The 25,901-nt window shown below is 39.9% G+C and overlaps 1 pseudogene; it reads right to left on the minus strand.

Moving 5' to 3' along the window:
* On the minus strand, positions 6,878–12,486 carry HK2P1 (hexokinase 2 pseudogene 1; annotated as a pseudogene).

The following is a 25,901-nucleotide window of genomic DNA, read 5'->3' on the forward strand; positions in this document are numbered from 1 at the left end:
ATGTCATTTCCTAATACAAGGCAGGATATGTGGGAAGAAAATGTACAATTATTTGATTAAAATTATTCCCCATTGACCTAAACTTTGAGTGATTCATGGGAAAAATAAATAAATGTTCTACACCAAGATAAAAAAAAGAAAGAAATTGTGTCACTACTTCTCAAACTGTTTCAAACATTCAAAGAAGAGAAAGCATCTCGAAACTCATTTTAGGAGGAGAACATTACCCTAACATCAAAGCCAGACAAAGACACTACAAGAAAAGAAAATTACAGATCAATATATGTAGAAAGATGAAACCGGATCCCTTCCTTACACCTTATACAAAAATTAATTCAAGATGGATTAAAGACTTACATGTTAGACCTAAAACCATAAAAACCCTAGAAGAAAACCTAGGCAATACCATTCAGGACATAGGCATGGGCAAGGACTTCATGTCTAAAACATCAAAAGCAATGGCAACAAAAGCAAAAATTGGCAAATGGGATCTAATTCAACTAAAGATCTTCTGCACAGCAAAAGAAACTACCATCAGAGTGAACAGACAGCCTACAGAATGGGAGAAAATTTTTGCAACCTACTCATCTGACAAAGGGCTAATATCCAGAATCTACAATGAACTCAAACAAATTTACAAGAAAAAAACAAACAACCGCATCAACAAGTGGGCGAAGGATATGAACAGACACTTCTCAAAAGAAGACATTTATGCAGCCAAAAAACACATGAAAAAATGCTCATCATCACTGGCCATCAGAGAAATGCAAATCAACACCACAATGAGATACCATCTCACACCAGTTAGAATGGCGATCATTAAAAAGTCAGGAAACAACAGGTGCTGGAGAGGATGTGGAGAAATAGGAACACTTTTACACTGTTGGTGGGACTGTAAACTAGTTCAACCATTGTGGAAGTCAGTGTGGAGATTCCTCGGGTATCTAGAACTAGAAATACCATTTGACCCAGCCATCCCATTACTGGGTATATACCCAAAGGATTATAAATCATGCTGCTCTAAAGACACATGCACATGTATGTTTATTGCGGCACTATTCACAATAGCAAAGACTTGGAACCAACCCAAATGTCCAACAATGATAGACTGGGTTAAGAAAATGTGGCACATATACACCATGGAATACTATGCAGCCATAAAAAAGGATGAGTTCATGTCCTTTGCAGGGACATGGATGAAGCTGGAAACCATCATTCTCAGCAAACTATCGCAAGGGCAAAAAACCAAACACCGCATGTTCTCACTCATAGGTGGGAATTGAGCAATGAGAACACATGGACACAGGAAGGGGAACATCGCACTCTGGGGCCTGTTGTGGGGTGGGGTAACGGGGGAGGGATAGCATTTGGAGATATACCTATTGTTAAAAGAAGAGTTAATGGGTGCAGCACACCAACATGGCACATGTATACATACATAACAAACCTGCACATTGTGCACATGTACCCTAAAACTTAAAGTATAATAAAAAATTTTAAAAAAAAGAAAAAATATTCCTTATAAATATAGATGCAAAAATTCTCAACAAAATACTGGAAAATTAAATTCTACAGGACATTAAAAAGATCATACACCATGATCAAAGGGACTTATCACTGAGATGCAAGGATGATTCAACATATGTAAATCAATTGATGTGATATATCACATTAACATAATGAAGAACAAAAATCATATGATCACCTCAATAGATATGAAAAAAGCATTTAACAAAGTTGAATGTTATTTCATAATAAAAATACCCAACAAAACAGGTGTACAAGGAATGTACCTCAATATAATAAAAGGTGTATATGAAAAGATAACTGTTAACATCACATCATATTTGACCTCTGTTATTGAAAATCAAATGAGGATGCTCACTCTCACCACTTCCCTCCGACATAGCACTGAAAGCACTAGCCAGAGTAATTAGATAAGAAAAAATAAATAAAAGAAATGCAAATAACAAAGGAAGAAGTAAAATTATGTCTGTTTGTAGATGACATGATCCTAATTTGTACAAACTCCAAAAGTATTATTAGAACTAATAAAATAATTCAATAAAATTGCAGGATACAAAGTCAATATAAAATAAGCTACATTTATATACACTAACAATGAACCATCCTAAAAGAAAATTAAGAAAACAATTCCATTTACAATAGTATAAAAATGTAAAAATAATACTTATGAGTAAAGTCAACCAAGTTGCTAAAAGACTTATACACTGAAAACTACTGAACTTCAATGAAAGGAATTAAGGGGCACAAATAAATAGAAGGACATTTAATGTTAATGAATTAGAAGAATTAATATTGCTAAACTGCACATACTACCAAAAGTGATGTACAGATTCAATGCTATCCCTATCAAAATTCCAGTGGCAGTTTTATACGTCCTAGAAACACCTTAAAATTCATGTGAAACCACAGAAGATTCAGAATATACAAAGTGATATTTAAAAAAAAAATAAAGATGGAAGCATCAGACTTTCTGATTTTAAAATATATTATAAAGTTATAATAATTAAAATAGTGTGTTATTAACATAAAGACCAACATAGCTACCAATGGAAAAGGATAGAGAACACAGAAATATATACCCAAAGATGCAGTCAGCTGATCTGCAACAAGAGTGCCAAAAACATACAATGGGGAATGATGGTTTCCTTAAAAAAAAATGGTGCAGGGATAACTGGATATCCACATGCAGAAGAGTGAAATTAGATTATTTTCTTTTATAACTTTTATTTTAGTATCAGAGATCCATGTGCAGGTTTGCTTTATAAGTAAACTGCACGTCATGGTGATTTTCTGTACAGGTTATGTTGCCACCCAGGTAGTAAGCATACTGAACGACAGGTACTATGTTGATCCTCTCCCTCCTCCCAACCTTCACCCTCAAGTAGGCCCCAGTGTCTGTTGTTCCCCTCTTTGTGTCCACATGTTCTTATTGTTTAGCATTCACTTATAAGTGAGAACATGCATTATTTGGTTTTCTGTTCCTGTGTTACTTTGCATAGGATAATCACCTCCAACATCATCTATGTTACTGAAAAAAAACCACAGACACACATGATTTTGGTTTTTTATATGGATGTGTAATATTCCATGGTATATATGTACCACATTTTCTTTATCCTGTCTACCATTGCTGGGCATTTAGGTGGATTCTATGTCTTTGCTATTGTGAATAGTGCTGCAATGAAAATACACATGCTTGTGTCTTTATGATACAATGATTTATATTATTTTGATATATACACAATAATTAGATTGCTGAGTAGAATGGTCATTCTATTTCAAATTCTTTGAGAAAGCACCACACTGCTTTTAAAAATGGCTGAGCTAATTTATATTCCTGCCAACAGTGTATAAGCATACCCTTTTCTGCACAACCTCTCCAGCATCTGTTATTCTTTGACATTTTAATAATAAGCATTCTGACTGGTGTGAGCTGGAACCTCATTGTAGTTTGGATTTGCATTTCTCTAATGATTAGCGATGTTGAGCTTTGTTTCATACGCTTCTTGGTTGTGTGTATGTCTTTTGAGAAGTGTCTGTGGATGTACTTTGCCCACTTTTTAATGAGGTTGTTTTTTACTTGTAAATTTGTTTAAGTTTCTTATAGATGCTAGATATTAGACCTTCGTCAGATGTATAGTTTGCAAAGATTTTGTCCCATCATTTCAATTGTTTGTTTATTCTGTTAATAGTTTCTTTTGCTGTGCAGAAACTCTTTAGTTTAATTAGATCCCATTTGTCTATTTTTTGTTTCTGTTGCAATTGCTTTTGGTATCTTTGTAATGAAATCTTTGTCAGGTCCTATGTCCAGAATGGTATTGCACAAGTTGTCTTCTAGGTTGTTCATAGTTTTAGGTTTTAAATTTAAGTATTTAATCCATTTCGAGTTTACAGTTTTATTTGATGTAAGAAAGGGTCCAGTTTCAATCTTCTGCATATGGCTAGCCAGTTATCCCAGCATCATTTATTGAATAGGGAGTCTTTTCACCCATTGCTTGTTTTTTGGCAGCTTTGTAGAAGATCACATAGTTGTAGGCATGTAACCTTGTTTCCAGGATCTCTATTCTGTTCCATTGTTCTGTGTGTCTGTTTTTGTACCAGTACCATTCTGGAGGATTTTTTTGTTATTGTTGTCAGTTTGGTTGGTTTTTTTTCTTTGTTTGTTTTTACTATAGCCTTGTAATATGATTAAAATTCAGGTAACGTGAGGCGTTCAGCTTTGTTCTTTTTGCTTAGAATTGCCTTGGCTATTCAAGATCTTTTTTTGTTTGTTTCGTATGAATTTTAAAACAGTTTTTTTTTTAAATTCTGTGTCATTCGTAGTTTGATAGGAATAGCACTGAATCTATAAATTGCTTTGGGCACTATGGCCATTTTAATGACATTGATTCTTCCTATCAATGAGCATGTAATGTTTTTCTTTTTGTTTGTTTCATCTCTGGTTTCCATGAGCAGTGTTTTGCAATTCTTGTTGTACAGATCTTTCACCTCCCTGGTTAGCTGTATTTGTAGGTATTTTACTCCTTTTGTGGCAATTGTAAATGGGAGTTTGTTTCTGATTTGGCTCTTGGCTTGACTGTTGTTTTTGTACTGGAATGCTACTAATTTTTGTACATTGATTTCTGTATTCTGAAACTTTGCTGACATTGGTTACTATATCGTGGAGCTTGAGGGCTGAGACTTCAAGGTTTTCTAGATATAGAATCACGACTTCTACAAACAGGGTAGTTTGACTTCCTCTTTTCATATTGGGATGCCTTTTATTTCTTTGTCATACCTGATTTTTTTTGGTCAGGAATTTCAGTACTATATTAATTAGGAATCGTTATAGAGGGCATCTTTATAATGATCCAGCATTCAAAAGGAATGATTCCAGGTTTTGCCCATTCAGTACGATATTGGCTGTGCGTTTGTCATAGATGGCTCTTATTATTTTAAGGAATGTGCCTTCAATGCCTAGTTTGTTGAGAATTTATAACATAAAGCGATGTTGAATTTTGTCAAAAGACTTATCTGAATCTATTGAGATAATAATATAATTTTCATTTTTAAGTCTGTTTATGTGATAAATCACATTTCTTGATTCGCATATGTTGAACCAAACTTGCATATGTTCAACCAAACTTGCAGCCCAAGGATAAAACCTACTTGATCATGGTGAGTTTCCTTTTCGATGTGCTGATGTGTACAGTTTGTTAGTATTTTGTTGAGTATTTTTGCATCTACGTACTTTAAGGATATTGGCCTGAGTTTTGTTGTTGTTGTGTCTCTGCCAGGTTCTGGTATCAGGATGATGCTGGTCTCATAGAGTGTTTTGGGTAGGAGACCCTCCTCCTCAATTTTTTGGAATAGTTTCAATGGGAGTGGTATCAACTCTTTTTTATATATCTGGTAGAATTAGGCTGTGAATTCATCTGGTCCTGGGCTTTTTTTTTTTTTGATTGGTAGATATTTCATTACTGATTTAATTTTGGAATTCATGATTGATCTGTTCAGTGATTCAATTTCTTTCTTGCTCAGTCTTAGGAGGATGTATGTGTCCAGGAATTTATACATTTCTTCTAGATTTTCTAGCTTTTGTGCATAAAGGTGTTTCTAGTAGTCAATGAGTAGTTTTTTTTTTTTTATGTGGGGTAGGTGGTAATGTCCCCTTTGCCATTTCTAATTGGGTTTATTTGGATTTTCTCTCTTTTTTTCTTTATTATTCTAGCTAGTGATCTATGTATCTTATTAATTTTTTAAAAGACCATCTCCTGGATTTGTTGATTTTATGAGTGGCTTTTCATGTCTCAATTTCCTTCAGCTCAGGTCTGATTTTGGTTATTTCTTTATTTCTTCTTGCTTTGAAGTTGGTTTGCTCTTGCTTCTCTAGTTCCTGTAGTTGTGATGTTATGCTGATAATTTGAAATGTTTCTAACTTTCTGGTGTGGGAATTTGGTGCTATAAACTTCCCTCTTTATGTGGCCTTTGCTATGTCCCAGAGATTCTGATATGTTGTATATTTGATCTCACTAGTTTCAAATAACTTCTTGATTTCTGCCTTAATTTCATTACTTACCCAAAAGTCCTTCAGGAGCAGGTTGTTTAATTTCCATGTAAATACATGGTTTTCAGCAATTTTCTTACTGTTGATTTCTATTTTTGTTGCACTATGGTCTGAGAGTGTGGTTATTATGATGTAAGCTTTTTTTTCTTAATTTTCTGAGTGTTGTTTGAGATCACATTGAGTGGTTGATTTTAGAGTATGTACCATGTGGTGATGACAAAAAATGTATTTTCTGTTGTTTGGGGGTGGAGTGTTCTGTAAATGTCTATTAATTTCATTTTGTCAAGTGTTGAGTATAGGCCCTGAATATTTTTGTTAATTTTTTGCCTCCATGATCTTTCTCATACTGTCAGTGGGGGTGTTGAGGTCTCTCACTATTATTGTGTGGGAATCTAAGTCTCTTTACAGGTCTCCAAGAACTTGCCTTATGAAGCTCGTTGCTCCTGTGTTGGGTGCTTACATATTTAGAACAGTTAGGTCTTCTTGGTGAATTGAACCTTTTACCATTATGTAATGCTCTTCTTTGTCTTGTTTTGTCTTTGTTGGTTTAAAGTCTGTTTTGCCTGAAATTAAGAAAGCAACGTCTGCTTCCTTCTGTTTTCCATTTGCATGGTAGATTATTCTCCATTTTTAAATTTGAGCCTATGTGTGTCATTGCATGTGAGATGGTTCTCTTTAAGACAGAATACATTTGGGTCTAACTTCTTTAGCTTGACGTTATGTGCCTTTTAACTGGGGTACTTAATCTGTTTACATTCAAGGTTAGTATTGACATGTGTGGATTTTATCATGACATCATGTTTTTTTATTTATTTTGGAAAATGTTAAAATTTATTAATAATAGTTAACATCACATAGTTAATTAAACTAGTTATGTATTGTACATAATGACAACATCTTCACTAGACTGAGTGCTCAAGGATTTGAGATGATTTGCTATTCATCACACCCCGAAGATTGAGATCCACTGTATTTACACAAGCAAAGCCATGTCAGCAAGGGACTGTCAACCTGATTCTGAGAACGCAAACATTCAAAATTTATTTCCAGTGTTCCTTTTTGGAAACCAACAACACATCTTTAATACCTACACAAACACACACACACATCTCTACCTTTAAAAAAAAAAGTGTAACTTCATAGATAGCACCTAATCTTCAAGCTTAAAATTTAAGTTAAAATTAATCTCTATTTTGTGGACACCCTTTAGTGAACTAAAATCTACGTGAAAGCTTTTGGCTTTTGTGTAGCAGGAGACACCCACATTTTGGGTCAATTAGTGCAGATGGGAGCAGCAGAAGAGCTACACCAGACAGCAAAGCAAGACTAGAATAAACGAGAAAGACCAGCCCCTCTCCCCTCTGTGCTCCCAGGAGGAGCTGGGCCGTTTTCACCTAATTACACCCAACTTTGCGTAAAAGTTGTATAATCGGACACTATTCCCAGCACAAGTTTGATAGATACACAAAAACTGGGTGCAATTTCATCGTGAGTTTCTTTCCATTCTGATCCTTGTATCCAATTCAATAGTTACATCCCTCTATTATATAGTATCCAGGTTTAATGTCTGTGCTTTTGCGTATTTTAGGGCAGAGGCAGGCTTTCAGATTCAGAATCAACTGCACTCTTGAAAAGTAGGGATGGAAGTTTTTAAGCCACTCTCATCCCTCCCAATAAATTGAAATAAATTAATTTTTTCCCACTAGTTTGAAATAAATATTGTGTATAAAAAAAAAACACAAAAACAGGTTAGCAGACCAATGCCAGCTCAGCCTAGGGAAGCACATGGACAACAATTCTTGTAAAACATTTAAAATACAAACCCAAGGTGAAACTTGCTGGGAGGGCACAAATACACCAAAAATGTTGTCCCTGAGGTTTTATTTGGTTGTTTAATTTTTCTGTTTTGGTTTGTTGTTGAGGATTAGATACAACTTAAAAAAAGAAATTTTGGCGACTTCCTTTATCTTGTCAGAAAGCTTTAAAATACTACTGACTGCCCTAAGAATAAAGATTTCTAAGCCATGAGTCCATTTGAAACGATTCCTTTGGTTTCCTTTGCTTAACATCCCATGGAATGTTGCCCCAAGAAAATCTCTAGATGGAGGAGCCAATTGCTGTGGTCTCTTCAGTCTATTGGCTCAGCCTCCATCTCTGTCCCTGCCTTCCACACACTTCCAAGACCACAGGGGAAGGAGGAGCCAGAAGCAACCACTTTGCCATTCACTCACCCTGAAGAGGCTTCTCTTCTCTTCCCACAGGCGAATGAGGTATTTCTATGACTAGTCAGTATCTTCCTCTTCCGCCCTTTAACTACACTGAGGCCAATTCTGACAAGACTTGCATATCTGTATACATAACAAATTAACATATAAATACATTACGTACAACTGACCATTACACGTCAAGATGAAGAAGCAGATCTACTTCAAGAACTAAATAAAATTTCAAATATAAATTAAAATGAAAATACAGTGTTTCCACTTTTGCAGGAAAAATTTGTAAAACAAACTAAAAACTCCCCCCTCCCCAAAGGTCCATTGCTGGTGGATAACATGTGCACCCCGCTGAGGTGCGACAGCTGGCCCGACTGCAGAATTCATCAACTCCTGGCTTTGGTTTCATTGCCCAGACTTGGGATTCCTTGATTCCAGGAATAGCAAATGCTGGAATCCACAGGGCAAATGCTTGTAGATGAGGTTAAAGAGGGGCTGCTGCGTGGATATCCATGGATTTCCCTCCATTGTCGCCCCTCCACCCTCCCCACGTCTGCCTGTAGGACAATCAGGCTCACGTCCTCAGTGGAGACCTCGCATATCTCTGACAGGAGAATCAGTAACAACGTCAGTGCTGGGGGATGCACCCCACCTGGAAATGTCATGTTCAGGCTCCAAGGTGAAGCAACCACATCTTCATTAGTGTCCCCATCCTGTAGAATTATACAGGGACGTGGAATTTGGCAAGGCGGATTACTAAGGGTGACAATTTTCATGTTTTAAGAGAACCAATGGGAATGGTTGTGACGCATGTGAACAAATCCTTATTTGGAACTGTATTTATCTTAATAGGGCCAAGCTCGGCCACCAAGCTCTACGATGAGATGCAGAGACAAAACCCTGTCCAGTGGGGTCCTCTCTGCCAAGGAAAAGCCAAGGGGTCTGTCTCTGACACAAAGGGATGACACCTTGTAATTTAAAACAGGGAGGAGGGAGAGAAAGAGGAAGTCCCTTCCGATTTCAGGGGTTCTATCGCTGTCCAGCCTCACGGATGCGGCAGAACACAGCAGTGATGAGCGCCACCCCCTTCCCGCTGCCATCCTCTGACTGCAGGAAAGACACATCACATTTCGGAGCCAGGTCCTTCACTGTCTCATGCATGACTTTGGCAAAGTGAGGATGTAGCTTGTAGAGGGTCCCATCCACACCCACTGTCACTTTGAGAGCGTCCAGCCCACGGTTTTCTCGTATCTTGTCCACCACAGCAGCCATGCCTGCACCACAGAGCTGGGCTGCCCGCCGGGCCACCACGGTGCACACCTCCTTAACAATGATGCTGTCGTCACAGGTGCTCTCAAGCCCTAAGTGTTGCAGCAGGGCCAGGCAGTCACTCTCAATCTGAGACAAGAACTTGGTTTCAAAGATGCCCCTTGTCTTGAGTAGCTCTGAGATGTGGCCTCAGAAGAGCAGCCCACGCTTGGTGAAATCGATGAGAATGTTACCGACAATCTCACCCAGGTACATTCCATTGATCATTTTCTCGAACCTCTGCTTGCCGGGGTTGAGTGAAAGCTCATCCACAGCCACATCAAATTCTGTGTGGAAGTCATCTAGGCATCCATTGTCTCCAAAGGCCCCCCATTCCATGTTCACACACATCCGCCCCTCTTCTCCTTCCACCAGTTCCACATTGCTCATCTCTTCCATGTAGCAGACATTGCTGCCCATGCCAACCGATGAGGCCAACTTCACAGTGAGGGTCTTCAAAGCCACAGGTCATCATAGTTCTGACTGTGTCGTTCACCACAGCAATCACATCCAGGTCAAACTCCTCTCGCCAGTGGATCGCTTCCTTCAGCAGGGTCACCACGTCCTCACCCTCGCAGCCAGATTCCTTGAAGCCTTTTGTCCACTAGAGGAGGATGCTCTCGTCCAGGCTGTTCTGCTGGCAGGGGAAGGAGAAGGTAAAACCCAGAGGCAGGGACACGCCCTTCATGCCCATGTACTCCAGGAAGTCCTCGATGCACTGGACAATGTGGTCAAAGAGCTCGTCCCCGGTGCCATGCATGACCTCCTGCGGGATGCCATAGATCTTGTTGTGCATCTCCACTCCACTCCACTTCCCATTCCGAATACAGACCAGCAGGACCCGGAAATTTGTTCCTCCAAGGTCCAAGGCCAAGAAGTCCCCTTTCTCTGTGCCGTCAGGGGTGGCACACACGTAGGTGGGAAGCATCTTGACGGGGGCACTGGCGTGAGTCTCCTTGCTCAGACCTCGCTCCATTTCTACCTTCATCCTCCTCTTGACCTCCAACAGCTGGTCATGGCTCAGCTGCAGAGGCTCTAGTGTCTTCTGGCGGGCACGGTGTTGATCGGCCAGCCGGTAAGCCACTGCTGTCACCATGGCTGCACCTTTGCCACTGCCATCCTCGGAGCGGAGGAAGCAGACATAGCAGTCGGGCACCAGCCGCCACACGGTCTTATGTAGACGCTTGGCAAAATGGGGGTGTTTCTTGTAGACGGAACCGTCGACCCCAATAGTAGAGCGAAGCTGCTCCTCACCTTTGTTCTCCTTGATGCGCTGCAGCACGGGGGCCAGGGTGGCTGTGCACAGGCTGGCGGAGTGTGTGGACACGATCTGACAGATCCGGTGAGTGGCCACGCAGTCCTCCTGAGTCGGGTCCATGCCCAACCGCATCAGGACCTCACGGGCCTTCCGGATGCCATCCTTCTCCCCTTCAGTGTCTGAGATGTCTTTGGTCTCAAAGTGACCGGTGTTGAGAAGCTCTGGGCTGAGCTTCCCCCTAAAGAGCAGCTCCTCCTTGGCCATCTTCACCAGGATAAACCTCATCAGCTCCCCCATGTACATCCCACTGATCACCTTCTCAAACAGTTGCTTCCCCAGGTTCAGTGAGCCCATGTCAATCTCCTGGTCAAACTCAGTGCGAATGTCATTGAGCGAGCCATCGTCCCCGAAGGCCCCCCACTCCATATTGATACACATCTGCCCCTCGTCGCCTTCTACCATCTCGATGTGGCGCATCTCTTCCATGTAGCAGGCGTTGCTGCCAGTGCCCACAATGAGACCAATCTCACAGTTGTGGTCGTCATAACCACAGGTCATCATGGTCCCAACTGTGTCATTCACCACAGCCACAATGTCGATATCAAAGTCCCCTCTCCTCTGGATGGCCTTCCGGATCAGAGCCACAACGTCTCTGCCTTCCACTCCACTGGACTTGAATCCCTTGGTCCATGAGACCAGGAAACTCTCGTCTAGTTTAGTCTGGCGGCAGGGGAACGAGAAGGTAAAACCCAATGGGAGCTTCTTGTCTTTGATTTGTAGCTTATCCATGAAGTTAGCCAGCCATTCGACAATGTGGTCAAACAGCTCGGTGTCACTGCCTCACATGATGTCCTCGGGGATGGCATAGATCTGGTTCTCCATCTCCACCTTCTGGAGCCCATTGTCCGTTACTTTCACCCAAAGCATACGGAAGTTGGTCCCTCCAAGGTCCAGAGCCAGGAACTCTCCGTGTTCTGTCCCATCTGAAGTGGACCTCACAAAGGTGGGCAGCATCTTCACTGCTGCAGTGGGGTGAGTGGTGGATCCAAGCCCTTTCTCTATCTCCTTGCGGAACCGCTTAGAGATCTCCAAGAGGGTCTCATCAGAGAGGTGCATGTGGTAGAGATACTGGTCAACCTTCTGCACTTGGTCATGGTTGAGCTCCTTGAAGAAGTAGGCAAGCAAATGCGAGGCAACCATCCTGCCGCGACCCGACGGCGCAGAGTTGGAAAACCGAGGCGGGGGCACGAGCCGGGAGGCGGGCGGCGCGGTCCGACTGCTTTGTGCTGGGGCTCGGCTGCCGGGCCGGGAGCTGGGAGTCCGGACGGCGCACAAAGAAGGCTAACGCCGAGGGTGCGCCCGGCTGGCGGAGGGCGCGGGTCTCCAGAGACGTGATTTTGGCGTCACAACTGCTAGAAGGCGCCTCAGTTCTCTCCCGGCGACGTGTCCGGTTGTCCCACGTCAAGGCGCTAACTTCGGCCACAGGATCACTGAGGCTCAACTTGAGAAGAATCTCAGCCCGGCTCCACTCGGGCAGTGGGACCTCTCCGGTTCACAGGCGCGTGGCTCCGGCCCGCGGATTTTCTTAGCTGGGTGACACGATGTTGCCAGCGGCAGCCCGGGACTCCTGCCGACATCATATCTTTAGCTGGTTATTATGTAAACTTGTTTGTGTGGTTGCTTTATACTGTCACTGGCCTGTATACTTGTGTGTTTTTGTGGTCCTGGTAACATTCTTTTCTTTCCATATTTAGCACTGCCTTCAGGACCTCTTGTAAGGCAGGTCTGGTGTTAACTTATTCCCTCAGCACTTGTTTATCTGAAAAAGATCTTATTTGTTCTTTACATATGAAGGTTAGTTTGGCCGGATATGAAATTCTTGATTGGAAATTCTTTTCCTTAAGAATGCTGATTATTGGCCCTCAATTTCTTCTGGCTTATAGAGTTTCTGCTGAAAGTTCTGCTGTTAGCCTGATGGGGTTCCCTTTGTAGGTGACCTGCCCCTTTTCTCTGTCTGCCTTTAACATTTTTTTCTTTCATTTTGACCCTTGAGAATCTAATAATTTTGTGTCTTTGAGATGGTCTTCTTATGTAGTATCTTGCAAGGGTTTTCTGCCTTTCCTTAATTTGAATGTTAACCCTTTAGTGAGGTTGGAAAAGTTTTCTTGGACAATATTCTGAGATATGTTTTCCAAGATGCTTACTTTCTCCGCATCTCTTCCGGGGACACAAGTGGGTTATAGATTTGATTTCTTTACATAATCTCATATTTCTCAGAGGTTTTGTTCATATTTTTTATTCTTTTGTTTTTAGTCTTACTGAATTATTTTAGATAGCTAGTCTTTGAGCCCTGATATTCTTTCCTTAGCTTGGTCTATCCTACTGTAAATACTTGTGATTACATTATGAAATTCTTGTAGTGTGTTTTTCAATTCTATCAGATTTATTTAGTTCTTTTTTATAATGGTCTCTTTGTCTACCAGCTTATTTTTTATTTTATTGTAATTCTTAGATTCCTTGGATTGGGTGTTCACTCCTGAGTTTTGATGATCTTCATTTACTATCTATACTCTGAATTCTAGTTCTGTCATTTTAGCCATTTCAGCCAGGTAAGAAGTCTTTCTTGGGAAATGGTGCAGTCATTTGGAGGAAAGAAGTCACTCTGACTTTTTTAATTGTCAGAGTTATTGTGCTGGTTCTTTCTCATCTGTGTGGGCTGTTGTTCTTTTAACTGTGGTGTAATTTGAGTACAGGCAGTAGACTTCTTTTTAGGATGTATTCAGAGAGCTGAAGCTTTGTGCAGGGTGGTTATTTGTAGGTGAATTCTTGTCCTTTGTTTCATCGAGTATATCAGCAAAGTATTTTGGTGTAGAAGTTTTGGTCTTCAATCTAGTAGACTGTGCTGAAGTAAAATGGCCAGTATGCAGCCTCTTGCTCAATCACATGGCTTATCTGTGTTTTTTCACAATTGCAATCATGGTCCTTCTTAGTGCTCTGAAAGTTTTATTCCTTTCCCACTTGAGTACTGGCTGCAGATCTTGGCTTGGCACTCCCAGGCTGCACACTGCAGCTCTGGGGTGAGCTCAGGCTTTATGTTCCCTCCCCACCTTGGAGGCAGCAAGGGAAGGGACCATAGCAGTGGGTGTTACAGAGGTTCACTTGTCTCATGGAGCTTTACCCCACAGAGATGCAGAGCTGCTATCAATTAATGTGATTGGAGTGGCTGCACTGTGGGCTCAAGCCAGGGGGAGGGGGTGCTGCTTGGTAACAACTGGGGGTGAGTGGATCACAAGGGAAGCAGATTGGCTTCTTCTCCCTCTGCAGCTTTCTGGAGGTGTGGTTAAAGCCCTCAGAGTATTTTCTCCTTTCCCAATCCAAGGGGAGCAAGGGCAGTATCATTGCAATGGCAGTGGGAGAGGAGCTTTCAGATGGCTCTGGGAGTTTCACCTAAGAGAAATGTGGAGATGCTGTTACTGGGTATGTTCATCCAGGGGACAGGGTGACTGCACTGCTGTGCTGAGCTTGGAGCTCTGCTTTTTCAGGAGCAGAGTCAATAACTCACAGGCAGAAGAGACTGAGCTCCTCCCTCTATGTGATTGTGGCATGCTGGGAGCATGTGTGAAGTCCTTAGGCTCTTTGTTTCTTTCCTTACACTGAGGACAGCAGGGACAGAACCACTGCTGTGACAGTGGCAGAGGGGCTGTTGGTTGCCTCTGGAAGATCTTCCCCAGGGAAACTCAGTGCCACTACCTGTAGGTGTGCTCAGCTCTGGGTGGGGCAGCTAAATTGAGGTCCTGAGCTAGGGCCCTGCCTGGTGAAAAGTGAAGTTGGGGGCGCACAAGGGAAAGGGACTGGATACCTCTCCATATCATGACTTCAGTGTGCTGGACATGCGAACACAGTGACCAGACCCTTTGTTCCTTTCCCTGCCTGAGGGCAGTTAGGGCAGTATCACTGCAGCTGCAATGGCAGAGGGATTGTGAGTTGTCTCTTAGATTTCCTCCTGAGAGAAATGCAGAGCTGCCTCCAACTGCAGTGTTCATGTGGGGGCAGGGTAGTTGTGCTGAAGTCTCAGGTCAGGAAACCATGCCAGTACAGAGAAGTGAAATCAGGGACCCTGGAAAACAGCCTGGTCACTTTTTCCATGGAGCAGCTGTGTTGTGCTGTGGATTCACAACAGTTCCTAGTCAATATCATTAGTCATTATGTAAATACAAATTATAACCACAATAAAATAGCACTTTACACCCACTAAGATATTTATAATCCAAAAGAAAGATGATAAAATGGGTTGATAAAAATGTGGAAAAAAATAGAACCTTCATATTCTGCTATTGAGAGTGTATAATGATGCATCCACATTGGAATACAGTCTGGCAGTTCTTCAAAAGGTTAAACTTAGAGCTACCATATGTCCAGGGTATTCCACTTCTAGAAGGAATGAAGATATATGTCCACATAAAACCTTGTACACAAATGTTTATAACAGAGTCATTCATAATAGCCAAAAAATAGAAATAACCCAAATGCCCATCAATTGGCAAATGGATAAACAAATGAACTGCAGACATATAAGGCAGTATTATCCAGTAATGCAAAGGAGTAAAGTATTAATACATGCTACAACACATATGAACCTTAGAAACATGCAAAATGAAAGAAACAAATTACAAAACACTACATATTGTATAATTTAACTTATGTGAAATTTCAAAGAGCTACATCTAGATATAGAAAGTAAACTGGTCATTGCCTAGGGGTAGAGAGTTTGAGGGGAAATAGAGACTAAAGTCTAATGGGTACAAAGTTTCTTTTTAGGTGATAAAGTAGTTATAATATTAAATTGTGGTAATGGTTACACAACTCTGTGGATGTATTCTTTTTTCTTTCTTTTTTTTTTTTTTTAAACAGGTCTACCCTCAGAAATGAATTTCAAGTTATCTGGCTTAAGCAAGGGGCAGGGAAGGAGGGTCAGTATTCGTCTGCCCATTATACCTCTAGTAAAGAAATCAGAGTCCTATTCACAAATACATGTTAGAGAATTAATGAGATGTAGGAGGGCCAAGTTTAATGTAACAAGGAAGGAAAAAATCTTCCCCTTCCGTCTCTGCAACTAGAGAAGCTACTGACAAATGACTGACATGATGATGTAGGCCTTAATGTTTTTCTTCACATCACAAAACTTCCGACTTCCTAAATTTTTGTGACATAGTGTGCTTAGGATATCATATGTCCTGATGTGAAGCAGAGAATTCATGAAGACAGTACTGGAGCAATCGACCTGCCTGGTTCCTGTACTGACACCTTGTGGTAAAAATCATAATAACAGTGAAAACAAACAGGACAACAGGCTTTCTAATTTTCTCTTTATGAGGCAATAATAATCAGGACTAACCCCTTAGCTTTTACTAATTAAGCCTTTCTGGTGATCTCATTGCTCTCATAGAAGGGAATAAAACATTTTTCTATAGTCATGATGAGGGCTCAGGGTGTTTTATTATTTCAAATATTAAACGAATGTGACCTCCTTTTGTAGCCCTAGCTGATGAAACAATGTGTGAGAAATACATACTCATTTTTAAATAGCCTGTAAAGCTTGTCAAAATGGATCTCTGTTGGCAGAGAAACAAGGTATCAATTTTCATCATATGGCAAAAAAATTTTATGTCAGATTTCTTTCTTCTGTTTTTCAATTATGGTATTTATATGAGCAACTACATATAGTATGATCAAGGAAAGATGTAGTGTGATAGGATGAGGAATAATGCTGAATGTCAGAGACTTGGCTTTGAGTAACTGCCCTGAGTTGTACATTATGTGCATGCATGTCATAGAAAATATTTGGCTCTAGAAACATAAAAATGATTCCCTTTGGAGCAAATCCTTGCTATCATTAAATAAAGCACAACTTATTTTTCATTTTTTAATTTTTATGGGAACATATTAGGTACACATATATATATTTATGAAGTATATGGAATATTTTGATACAGACACACAATGTGTAACAATTACGTTAGGGTAAATGAGGTATCCATCACCTCAAGCATTTATTCTTTTTGTCACAAATAATCCAATTATACTCTTTTAGTTATTTTTAAATGCACAATTAAATGATTATTGATTACGGTCACTCTGTTGTGCTATAAAATACTGGATTTTATTCATTCTTTTAAACTGTATCTATGTACCCATTAACCATGCCTACCTTATCCATTCTTCTTGGTTTTCCAATTTAATGGCATATAGTTGCTCATAGTAGACTCGAATGAGTTTATTAATTTCTGTGGTATTGGTTGAAATGTCTCCTTTTTCTTCTCTGATATTATTTACCTGAATATTATCTTTTTTTTTATTTAGCCATACTAAAGGATTGTCGGTTTTATCTTTTCTAAAAACTTTTTGTTTCATTGATTTTTGTATTGTTTTCTCTGTTTCAATTTTATTTCTGCTCTTATTTATTTCTTTATTATTTATAATCTTTTTCTTCTACTAATTTTGTGTTTGGTTTGCTCTTGCTTTTCTAGTTCTTTAAGATGCATCATTAGTTTGTTTATTTGAAGTTTTTATTCTTTTTTAATGTAGGCACTTATAGCTGTAAAATTCCCTCTAAGTATTGCTTTTGCTGTATCCCATAGGTTCTGGTATGCTGTGTTCCATTATCATTTGTTTCAAGAAATTTTTCAATTTCCTTCTCAATCTCTTCATTGAACCACTGGTCATTCAGGACCATATTGTTTAATTTTCATATGTTCATATAGATTTCAAAATTAATCTTGTTATTGATTTCTAGCTTAATTCTATTTTGGTCAGAGAAGATACTTGATATTATTTCAATTTTTTGAATGTTTTTATAAATGTTTTGTGGCCTAATGTATAGTCTACCCTTGAGGATGATCCATGTGCTAGGGAGAAGAATGTGTATTCTCCTGCCATTACATGAAATGTTCTGTAAACGTCTATTAGGCCCAGTTGGTGTGTAGTGCTGATTAGCTCCAATATTTCTTTGTTGATTTTCTTCCTGGGTAATCTGTCCAGTGCTTAATGTCAGTGTTGATGTCTCCAGTTATTATTGTATTGCAGTCTATCCCTTTCTTTAGCTCTAATAACACTTGCTTTATATGTCTGGATGTTCCAGTGTTGGGTGCATATATATTTACAATTGTTACATCCTCTTGCTGAATTGACCCATTTATCATTACAAAATGACTTTCTTTGTCTCTTTTTAGAGATTTAGTCTGAAGTCTATTTTGTCTGATATAAGCATAGCTACACCTGCTGTTTTTTTATTTCCATTTGCATGGCATACACTTTTCCATCTCTTGTTTTCAGCATATGTGTGTCTTTATAGGTAGTGTGTTTCTGGTAGAAAACAGACAATTTGGACTTGTTTTTTATCCATTCATCCATGCTAAGTCTTATGATTGGAAAGTTTTGTCTATTTACATTCAAGATTACTTTTAAGTAATGACTTTTTCACAACATTTTGTTATTTGTTTTCTAATGCCATGGTGCTTTGCTACACCTATTAACGCATCATCTAGGTTTCAAGCCCCACATGCATTAGGCATCTGTCCTAATGCTCTCCCTCCCCTTTCCTTCCACATGCTGACAGGCCCCAGTGTCTGATGTTTCCCTCCCTGTGTCCATGTGTTCTCATTGTTCAACTCCCACTTACGAGTGAGAACATGCGATGTTTGATTTTCTGTTCCTGTGTTAACTTGCTGAGGATGATGGTTTCCAGGTTCATACATGTTCCTGCAAAGGACATGAAATTCTTTTTTATGGCTTCATAGTATTACATGGTGTATATGTGCCACATTTTCTTCATCCAGTCTATCATTGGTGGGCATTTGGGTTGGTTCCAAGTCTTTGCTGTTGTAAATATCACTGCAATAAACATACACGTGCATGTGTCTTTATAGTAGGGGATATGATTGTATCCCCTACTATATAATACTTTGGATATATGCCCAGTAATGGGATTGCTGGGTCAAATGGTATTTTTGGTTCTAGATCCTTGAGGAATCACCACACTGTCTTCTACAATGCTTGAACTAATTTACACTCCACCAACAGTGAAAAGCATTCCTATTTCTCCATATCCTCTCCAGCCTCTGTTGTTTCCTGACTTTTTAATGATTGCCACTCTAACTGGCATGAGATGGCATCTCATTGTGGTTTTGATTTGCATTTGTCTAATGACCAGTGATGATGAGCTTTTTTTCATGTTTGTTGGCTGCATATATGTATTCTTTTGAGAAGTGTCTGTTCATATCCTTCACCCACTTTTTGATGGGGTTGTTTGTTTTTTCTTGTACATTTGTTAAAGTTCCTTGTAGATTCTAGATGTTAGAATTTTGTCAGATGGATAGATTGCAAAAATTTTCTCCCATTCTCTAGGTTACCTATTCACTCTGATGATAATTTCTTTTGCTGAGCAGAAGCTCTTTAGTTTAATTAGATCCCATTTGTCAGTTTAGGCCTTTGTTGCAGTTGCTTTTTGGTGTCTTAGTCATATAGTTTCTGCCCATACGTATGTCCTGAATGGTATTGCCTAGGTTTTCTTCTAGGGTTTTTATGGTTTTAGGTTTTACATTTATGTCTTTAATCCATCTTGAGTTAATTTTTGTATAAGGTGTAAAGATAAGGAAGGGGTCCAGTTTCTGTTTTCTACATATGGCTAGCCAGTTTTCCCAGCACCATTTATTAAATAGGGAATCCTTTTCTCATTGCTTGTTTTTGTCATGTTTTTCGAAGATCAGATTGTTGTAGATGTGAGGTGTTATTTCTGAGGCCTCTGTTCTGTTCCACTGTTCTATATACCCGTTTTGGTACCAGTACCATGCTGTTTTGATTACTGTAGCCATGTAGTATACCTTGAAGTTGGGTAGTGTGATGCCTCCAGCTTTTTCCTTTTTGCTTAGGATTGTCTTGGCTACACGGGCTATTTTTTGGTTCCATATGAAACTTAAAGTAGTGTTTTCTAGTTTTGTGAAGAAAGTCAATGGTAGCTTTATGGGAATAGCATTGAATCTATACATTGCTTTCATCAGTATGCCCATTTTCACGATATTGATTCTTCCTATCCATGAGCATGGAATGTTTTTCTATTTGTTTGTGTCCTCTCTGATTTCCTTGAGCAGTGGTTTGTAGTTCTTCTTGAAGAGGTCCTTCAAGTCTCTTCTAAGTTGTATTCCTGGGTATTTTATTTTCTTTGTAGCAATTGTGAATGGGAGCTCACTCATGATTTGGCTCTCTGTCTGTCTATTATTGGTGTATAGGAATGCTTGTGATTTTTGCACATTGATTTTGTATCCTGAGACTATGCTGAAGTTGCTTATCAGCTTAAGGAGTTTTTGGGCTGACATGATGGGGTTTTCTAAATATACAATCGTGTCATCTGAAAACAGAGACAATTTGACTTTCTCTCTTTCTATTTGAATACCCTTTATTTCTTGCTCTTGCTTGATTGCTCTAGCCAGAACTTCCAATGCTACGTCGAATAGGAGTGGAGAGAGAGAGCATCCTTGTCTTGTGCCAGTTTTCAAAGGGAATGTTTCTAGCTTTTGCCCATTCAGTATGATTTTGGCTATGGGTTTGTCATAAATAACTCTTATTATTTTGAAATCCGCTCCATCAATACCTAGTTTATTGAGAGTTTTTAGCATGAAGGGGTATTGAATTTTATTGAAGGCCTTTTCGGCATCTATTAAGATAATCATGTGTTTTTTGTCATTGGTTCTGTTCATGTGATGGATTACATTTATTGATTTGTGTATGTTGAACCAGCCTTGCATCCAAGGAATGAAGCCAACTTGATTGTGGTGGATAAGCTTTTTGATGTGCTGCTGGATACAGTTTGCCAGTATTTTATTGAGAATTGTTGAATTGATGTTCATCAGGGATATTGCCTTGAAATTTTCTTTTTTTGTTCTTTCTCTGCCAAATTTTGGTAACTGGATGATGCTGGCCTCATAAAATGAGCTGCAGAGGAGTCCCACTTTTTTGTTTGGAATAGTTTCAGAAGGAATGGTGCCAGCTTCTCTTTGTACCACTGGTGGAATTCAGCTGTGAATCCGTCTGGTCCTGGGCTTTTTTTTTTTTTTTTTGGTTGGTAGGCTATTAATTACTGCCTAAATTACAGAACTTGTTATTGATCTATTCAGGGATTTGACTTCCTCCTGGTTTAGTCTTGGGAGGGTGTGTGTGTGTCCAGGAATTTATCCATTTCTTTTTGATTTTCTAGTTTATTTGCGTAGAGGTGTTAACAGTACTCTCCGATGGTAGTTTGTCTTTCTGTGTGATCAGTGGTGATATCCCCTTTATCATTTTTTATTGTGTCTATTTGATTCTTCTCCCTTTTCTTCATTATTAGTCTGGCTAGCAGTCTATCTATTTTGTTAATCTTTTTTGAAAAAACAGCTCCTGGATTCATTGATTTTTTGATGGGTTTTTCAGGTCTATCTCCATCAGTTCTGCTCTGATTTTAGTTATTTCTTCTCTTCTGCTACCTTTTGAATTTGTTTGCTCTTTCTTCTCTAGTTCTTTTAATTGTGATGTTTGTTAGAGTGTTGATTTTAGATCTTTCTCGCTTTCTGATGTGGGCATTTAGTGCTATAAATTTCCCTCTAAACACTGCTTTAGCTGTGTCCCAGAGATTCTGGTACGTTGCCTCTTTGTCCTCATTGGTTTCAAAGAACTTATTTATTTCTGCCTTTATTTCGTTATTTACCCAGTAGTCGTTCAGGAGCAGGTTGTTCAGTTTCCATGTAGTTTTGTGATTTTAAGTGAGTTTGTTAATCCTGAGTTCTAATTTGATTGCACTGCAGTCTGAGAGACTGTTTGTTAGGATTTCCGTTTTTTGAATTTCCTGAGGAGTGTTTCACTTCCAATTATGTGGTCTATTTTAGAGTAAGTGATATATGGTGCTGAGAAGAATGTATATTCTGTTGATTTGGGGTGGAGAGCTCTGTAGATGTCCATTAGGTCCTCTTGGTCAGAGCTGAGTTCAAGTCCTCAATATCCTGCTTAATTTTCTGTCTCGTTGATCAGTCTAATATTGACAGTGGGGTGTTAAAGTCTCCCATTATTATTGTGTGGGTGTTTAAGTCCCTTTGTAGGCCTCTACAAACTTGTTTTATGAATCTGGGTGCTCCTGTATTAGGTGCATATATATTTAGGATAGTTAGCTCTTCTAGTTGCATTGATCCCTTTACCGCTATGTAATGTTATTCTTTGTCTTTTTTGATCTTTGTTGGCTTAAAGTCTGTGTTATCAGAGACTAGGATTGGAACCCCTGCTTTATTTTGCTTTCTATTTGCTTGGTAAATATTCCTTCATCCTTTTAATTTGAGCCTATATGTGTCTTTGCACCTGAGATGGGTCTCCTGAATACAGCACATCAAGGGTCTCTTTATCCAATTTTCCAGTCTATGTCTTTTAATTGGGGCATTTAGCCCATTTACATTCAAGGTTAATATTGTTATGTGTCAATTTGATCCTGTCCTCATGATGCTAGCTAGTTATTTTGCACATTAGTTGATGCAGTTTCTTCATAGTGTCATTGGTCTTTATATTTTGGTGTGTTTTTCCAGTGGCTGGTACCGGTTTTTCCTTTTCATATTTAGTGCTTTCTGCAGGAACTCTTGTAAGGCAGGCCTGGGAGTGACACGATCCCTCAGCATTTGCTTGTTTGGAAAACATTTTATTTCTCCTTCACTTATGAAGCTTAGTTTGGCTGGATATGGAATTCTGGGTTAAACATTCTTTATGAATGTTGAATATTGGCCCCTACTCTCTTCTGACTTATAGGGTTTCTGCAGAGAGATCTGCTGTTAGTCTGATGGGCTTCCCTTTGTAGGTAACCTGACTTTTATCTCTGGCTGACCTTAACATTTTCTTCTTCATTTCAACTTTGGAGAATCTGACAACTATGTGTCTTCGTGTTGCTCTTCTCGAGGAGTATCTTAGTGGTGTTCTCTTTATTTCCTGAATTTGAATGTAGGCCATATTGCTAGTTTGGGGAAGTTTTCCTGGATAATATCCTGAAGTGTGTTTTCCAACTTGGTTCCATTCTCCTCATCACTTTCAGGCACACCAATGAAACGTAAGTTTGGTCTTTTCACATAGTCCCATATTGCCTGGAGGCTTTGTTTGCTCCTTTTCATTCTTTTTTCTCTAATATTCTCTTCATGATTTTTTTTCATTAAGTTGATTTTCAATTTCTAATATTCTTTCTTCTGCTTGATTGATTCAGCTATTGATACTTGAGTATGCTTCAAAGTTCTCATGCTGTGTTTCTCAGCTCCATCAGTTCATTTATGTTCTTTTCTAAACTGGTTATTGTAGTTAGCAGTTCCTGTAACCTTTTATCAAGGTTCTTAGCTTCCTTGCATTGGGTTAGAACATGCTCCTTTAGCTAAGAGGAGTTTGTTATTGCCCAATTTCTGAAGCCTATTTCTGTCAGTTCATCAAACTCATTCTCCGTTCAGTCTTGTGCCCTTGCTGGAGAAGAGATGTGATCATTTAGAGGAGAAGAGGCATTCTGGTTTTTGGAATTTTCAGCCATTTTGTGTTGGTTTTTCCTCATCTTCATGGATTTATCTACCTTTGATCTTGATGTTGATTACTTTTGGATGCGTTTTTTGTGTGGGCATCCTTTTTGTTGATGTTAATGTTATTGCTTTCTGTTTGTTGGTTTTCCTTCTAACAGTCAGGCTGTCTTCTGCAAGTCTGCTGGAGTTTGCTGGAGGTCCACTCCAGGTCATATTTGCCTGGGTATCACCAGTGGAGGCTGCAGAACAGCAAAGATTGCTGCTTGCATCTTCCTCTGGAAGCTTCATCCCAGAGGGGCACCTGCATGATGCCAGCCAGAGTTCTCCTGTATTAAGTGTCTGTCGACCTTTGCTGGGACGTGTTTCCCAGTCAGGAGGCATGGGGGTCAGGGACCCACTTGAGGAGGAAGTCTGTCCCTTAGCAGAGCTTGAGTGCTGTGCTGGGAGATCTGCTGCCCTCTTCAGAGCTGGCAGGCAGGAATGTTTAAGTGTGCTGAAGCTGTGCCCACAGCCGCCCCTTCCCCCAGGTGCTCTGTCCCAGGGAGATGGGAGTTTTATGTATAAGCCCCTGACTGGGGCTGCTGCCTTTCTTTCAGAGATGCCCTGACCATTGAGGAGGGATCTAGAGAGGCAGTCTGGCCACAGCTGACTGGCTGTGCTGCAGTGAATTCCACACAGTGTGAACTTTCCAGCGGCTCCCTTAATTCTGTGACAGGAAAACCACTTTCTCAAGCCTAAATAATGGTGAACGCCCCTCCCCCCACCAAACTCGATTGTCCTAAGTTGACTTCAGACCGCTGTGCTGGCAGCAATAATTTCAATCCAGTTGTTCTTAGCTTGCTGGGCTCCATGGGAATGGGACCCACTCAACGAGATCATTTGGCTCCCTGATTTCAGCTCCCTTTCCAGGGGAGTGAAAGGTTCTGTCTCGCTGGGTTTCCAGGCCCAACTGAGGTGTGACAAAAAAAAAACTCCTGCAGCTAGCTCAGTGTCTCTCCAAACAGCCATCCAGTTTTGTGCTTGAAACCCAGGGCCTGGGTGGTCTAGACACAGGAGAGAATCTCCTGGTCTGCGGGTTGCAAAAACCATGAGAAAAGCGTAGTATCTGAGTTGGATAGCACTGTCCCTCATGGCACAGTCTCTCACTACTTCCCTTGGTTAAGGGAGGGAGTTCCCCAGCCCCTTGCACTTCTTGGATGAGGCGACACCCCACCCTACTTCTGCTTGCCCTTCATGGGCTGCAACCACTGTCTAACCAGTCCCAGTGAGATGAACAGTGTACCTCAGTTTGAAATGCAGAAATCACCCACCTTCTGTACTGATCTTACTGGGAGCTGCAGACCAGAGCATTTCCTATTTGGCCATCTTGCCCAGGAATCCATCAAAGCCAATTTAAAAGCCTATGTAAAAAATATTCTTGCTGCACTGTATACAAATATTTAGGCTAAATATAATAAGCAAACCAGTCCTACCATTATTTGTCTTTAGTAAAATGGGAAACTGGAGAGAGAATAAATTATGTTTAAAAACAATTGTACACCTGTTGTTAGATTCTAGTCTTGCCTAATAGGGTTTTTTTTCATTTTTTTAATTATTTTCTACAGTTTGGACCAAATTCTAATTTTTCTTGGCTACAACTGTTCAAAATGTTTCCATTTTTTTCTTATCTTTTTCATTTTTCATAATTTGGGGTCACTGAAAACTAAGCCGTGGTTTTTTAAAACCCTGTGAACCGAAGCCAGGCAACTTAAACTTCTGAAGAAAATAACAATAATCTATTTATATACATAAGCCACTTTTATACCTGCTTACTAATGTATGGCTTTCAGAGTAATGTGGCCTATATTGATTTGTCCAAGACTGTTCTTTTCTTGTTGTTTTATCTCTTTTTCTTCCTCCTATTTTCTCTTCATAGGACATGAGACTCCACCACCTGCTAAAAATGAGCTTTCTGGACCTATTCATCTAAAAATAAACCATCTTATGCATGACAGATCAGATGAAATCTGAGACAGAGACTCATTTTCTTGTAAAATGCTTTCTCCAAAAAATTGTTAAAAAGAAAAAGGGGGAATTGTGAAAGAAAAATATCTTGGGCCCTTCAAGCTGGGAACCACTCAGGGCAAGTCTGCCTCCTATTCAACCTAACCCTTTGCTCACAGAGATAGATGCAGATTCTGATTGCCTCCTTTGGAAAGACTTATCATAAACTCAAAGAATGCAGCCATCTGTCTTTCACCTACATATGACCAGGAGACACCCAATTGGTGGGAGGCTTGTTTCTAGATGAAACTAATGTGTTTCTTACATATTGATGGATGTCTCATGTCTCCCTAAAATGTATAAAACCAATCTGTGCCCTGACCACCTTGGGCACATGTCATCAGGACTTCCCGAAGCTGTGTTATGGGCACATTCTCAACCTTTGCAAAATAAACTTTCTAAATTATTTGAGACCTGTCTCAAAGTTTGGAGGTTCACAAATTCAA

This window comes from Homo sapiens, chromosome X (assembly GCF_000001405.40).
Source record: "Homo sapiens chromosome X, GRCh38.p14 Primary Assembly".
Taxonomy (NCBI): Eukaryota; Metazoa; Chordata; class Mammalia; order Primates; family Hominidae; genus Homo; species Homo sapiens.